At 34.6% G+C, this 4,391-nt stretch overlaps 1 annotated feature.

Moving 5' to 3' along the window:
- Positions 227 to 427: a silencer, noted in NCBI's record as "peak2897 fragment used in MPRA reporter construct". NCBI's record gives its function as "represses an SCP1 promoter by STARR-seq MPRAs in K562 erythroleukemia cells {active_cell/tissue: K562}" and the evidence as "EXISTENCE:reporter gene assay evidence [ECO:0000049][PMID:32103011]".

A 4,391-nucleotide genomic window follows, 5' to 3' on the forward strand; every position in this document is an offset into this window, starting at 1 on the left:
AGATAAAACAAAAAACTGAATTTAAACCTTTATTTGTTTAGGAAGAAAAGAAAATAAAACTATAATTATGATGTGAATAAAATAATGTTTTCCCTGTTTGGGCTATTATCCCATTGTTTTGCCTCAATGCTTTTGCTAATATTGCACTACATTCATTAAAGAAAAAAGGCACACATGGCAAACCACATTTTGCCGTCTGGGAATTAAAATAATCTTGTGGCCAGCCGAGAAGCCACTTATGCATGGCATATATATCCAGGTTCAGAATCCAAAGGATAAAAGTGGGTCATATCGTAATCAAGAAAACACAAATGCAAGCTGATCTGTACACTAAAATCAGACAGCAATGCTGAGTGGAGTCAGAATCTGCAGACAAGAGTGTGACTAACAAAGGAAGAGATTCAGCTATCCAGAGAGTCGAGACAGATAAATGAGGACCCAGGGCAGAAATCTAAATGCGTGGGACAAAGAGTTAGAAGTAAGCTGAAGTTGAAGGAAGCATCTACAAAAGAAGTAAGAGGTGAGAGAATATGCCTAATGAAATTGTGGAGAATGAGGAAGCTATTGCTGTAGTTTCTTTTGACCCAAACATTTCTGTCCCTGGTTTTCAAACTCATGGAACATAGCTTCAAACAAATGCTTAAAAACAAGGGGAATTTTATGCATAGTATTAGTTGCATTTATCAAATGCATTTATCAAATGCCCATGTTACCTTTACAATAAGAGTAGTTAGCAAATGTAAACATGTTTTTTGCATTTTCTTGAAAGTAGAAAGTAATATATATTAGGACACACCCATTGACTTGACTCAACTATATTTGAATGAGCACAATCTGGAGGACCTTATCCAAAGATAAAGTCTCAGACATTCTAGAACTATCTTGTCTTTGTCTATATCAGATGATAACTTTATTAAAGCTTCTTACAGCTGTGATATTTAATTTATTTATTTATTTATTTTGAGATAGGGTCTCACTCTGTTGCCCAGGCTGGAGTGCAGTGGCATGATCTCAGCTTACTGCATCTTCTACCTCTCTGGCTCAAGGGATCCTCTCACCTTGGCCTCCACACTAGCTGGGACCACAGGCACATGCCACCACGCCTAGCCAATTTTGTTTATTTTTTGTAGAGGCAAGACCTTACTATATTGCCCAGGCTGGTCTTGAACTCCTGAGTTCAGGTGATCTTCCCATGTAGGCCTCCCAAAATGTCAGGATTACAGGCATGAGCCATTACAATCAGCTCTACTATTTTAATTTTAATGAAAAAAGTATGTCTGAAAATTGGTTGTTTAAGAAGTCTTCCTTTTGAGGGTGTATTTTTACAACTACTCAGATGTAGCTAACAATAAAAACAAAGCATATTAAAAGTGTGCTACTAGAGAAGACAGCACTACTAAATTTATTATCATCAGACTTCTGTTCAAAGATATCTTTTAAAACACCTGTATAAAGTTATTAACTGATTAACCTGCTGAGCAAGGGATCTTGAACCAGGGGAGCTTGAGGAGAATTCCCACTCTGTCAATTTTTTTAAAAAAATACTGAACCAATTAATTTTTAATATCCGTTTTTGTTCCTATTTTTCATTTTTAAACCAAAATGACACCTTACATCTTCCCACATTATTAAAATTTCAGGAGTATAAAGGCATTGACTGACTGAGGCATTTATGTAATTTTTACTTCTCACCTTGTATGGATACCTTATGAAATCAATATACCAGATATTAGAGTATCTGATATTATATTATATTACATGCATATGTTTCCATAGTATCACAGGTGAGCAAACATGGGGTATATAAAGTCTGTAACATTTAATTTAATGTAGAAAGACAGTTTTCTTTATTTTTCCATTTTTAAAAATTATAATGTACCCCTTCAAATTATTATCAACAATTATATGAAATTTAAGATTAGAAAAAAAATTTAGTATTAAAAAACAACTAGAGTAATCTAATTCAAAATCTTAAAGGTTAATACTGTTTAAATTTGAGAGTTATTAGAGATTCTATTGGTTCCTTTTCCAAAATATTTTTATTTTTCTCCAATACTCCACGTTGTGTTTGCACTGAAAAATAGAACATTGACTAATTTTGGTAATCAGCAAATGACTTAGTACCTAAGTCACTAATTAAAGTTATAATTACACTTTTATCATCCACCCTACATTTCTCAGGTCTTTGGATTTAGGTCTCTGTAGTTAGTCACTTTTCTTGCTACCTGTCAGGAAGAGATAATGTGTCAAAATATAACAAGTTCATTATATTCTCTTGTAAGTGCTAGTTAGTCACTTCCTCCTTCTATGCTCCAAATACTCATCGAATATGGCCATGTTACAACTCTTTCTCATTGTTTTGTGATTCAGTTTTCTACCTCTGTATCTCCAAATAAATTCTGAATCCAAAGTGGGTAGTCTAAGTTGCAATTTTTGGGATGAACCCAGGACCTAAAAAAGTATCAGACATATTTTGCTTGTTCAATTTTTGTTGAATAAAATGATAAATATTTTTAAAGGACAACAGTTTGGATTTATGAATGAGGTCTCACTTATGTTCTCATAACTGATTTTCCTTCGCAATAGCATCACAGATAAGTTACTAACTGAATAATTGTCTGAGATATAATTTTATTTTTGTTGAAGTTACGTGTTTGAATTTCATACACTTACATATAGAGAACTTTATTTCATAAGTTTCAAAGATGATATGTTCAAACCATATCATTAGTTTTGAAAAAAATGAAATTATATATATTTGGTTATATTTCAAGATACTTCAAACAATTGAAGAATATAGAGGTCAGGTTTGCATAACAAAGTGTGGCATTTCATCTCAGGTGATGAGAGGTATTTATAGTTTTTTATTTTTCCTCCACCCAACCAGTTTTCTGAATCTCTGATACCAACTTATGTCCTACAATTCCATTTGATTCTAACTCTAACTACCAGGAGTTAGTATCAGACATCACAGGTTTAAAAGCTTAGTCCCTCAAAACTGCCCTCACCGTAGATGCCACTTGCAAGTATCAGGTGCTCAGGCTGCCTACCCTTTGGTCTAACTTGGCTACAAAGTCAAGGGTTCCCACAATCTCCCACACCAAGGTTAATTTGCTAGAATGACTCTGAACTCAGGTAAATGCTGTATTTACTATTACAGCTTATATTAAAGGATACAAATGAACAACCAGATAAAGTGGTACATAGTGCATGGTCCGGAAAGGTCCTGAACACAGGGGCCTTGGTTCTTATGAAGTTGGGGTATGTCGCCTTCCACGGACGTGGATGTGTTTGCCAGTTTGAAAGCTCCTTAAACCTTATGTTTAGTGTTTTTATGGAAGTTTTATTATGTAGCCATGACTGTGTCCATTGGTAATTAACTCAATCTCCAACCTTATTCCCTCCCGGGAGCTTGGAATCTGGGGCTGAAAATCCCAAGCTTGTAATCAAGGCTGGGTCTTTCTGTGATGAGCCCCTTTTCTGAAGTGGATGGTCCTGCCAAGAGTTACCTCATTAGAACAGCAGATGCTTTTATCAGCATTATCACTCTGGAAATTTCAAGAGTTTTAGAAGCTCTATGCTAAAACAAATACCAAATATCTTTCTTATTATACTATAGATGATAAGAAACTCACTACTGTTGAAAAATAATTTAGTACTGAAACAAGCAGTAGGGCTGGGATCCATAAGGATTCAGGTTTTAGTCCCACTCTTTAGCAGCTGTATAATCTTGTGCAAAAAAAAAAAAATTTTAAATTGTTTAGTGCTCAGTTTTCTTATTTGGTAGAAAGAGAAGAAGTAGGGTTAAATGACTTAAAGCATGTAAAACACGGAGCACAGAGCTGGCACAAGGCAAGCACTCAATAAGAGAGAGCTATTATTATTTTAATTGGGGATCCACAAACTTCTTTAAAGGGCCAGCTATTTTAATACTTTACAGTCTATAGCCAGTTCCTGCTTCTAATACTCAACATATCATTGTAGTGTGGAAGCAGCCATAGATGATGTATAATGAATAAACCATCCCCATAAAACTTTATTTACCAAAACAAACGGCAGGCCAGATTTGGCCTGTGGGACATAGTTTGTCCACATACCTAGTTCACATTATACAAATCCAGAATTAAGCTACTGTTGTATTGTATATCACCTCTACATTTACATAGGCCTTGAGCACATAGAATGCACTTTGTTAAATTAATTATGTATTATTTCCTCTAATTCTAGTGCCTTGATGTTTTGGGTTGTTATATCCCCCCAAAAAAGGCATGTTTGAGTCCTAACCACCACTATTTCAGAAGGCAATTGTATTTGGAAATAGAGTCTTTACAGAACTAATTAAGTTAAAATGAGGTTATTAGAATGGACAATAATGCAGTATGACATATGTC

Source organism: Homo sapiens, chromosome 17 (genome assembly GCF_000001405.40).
Source record: "Homo sapiens chromosome 17, GRCh38.p14 Primary Assembly".
Lineage (NCBI taxonomy): Eukaryota > Metazoa > Chordata > Mammalia > Primates > Hominidae > Homo > Homo sapiens.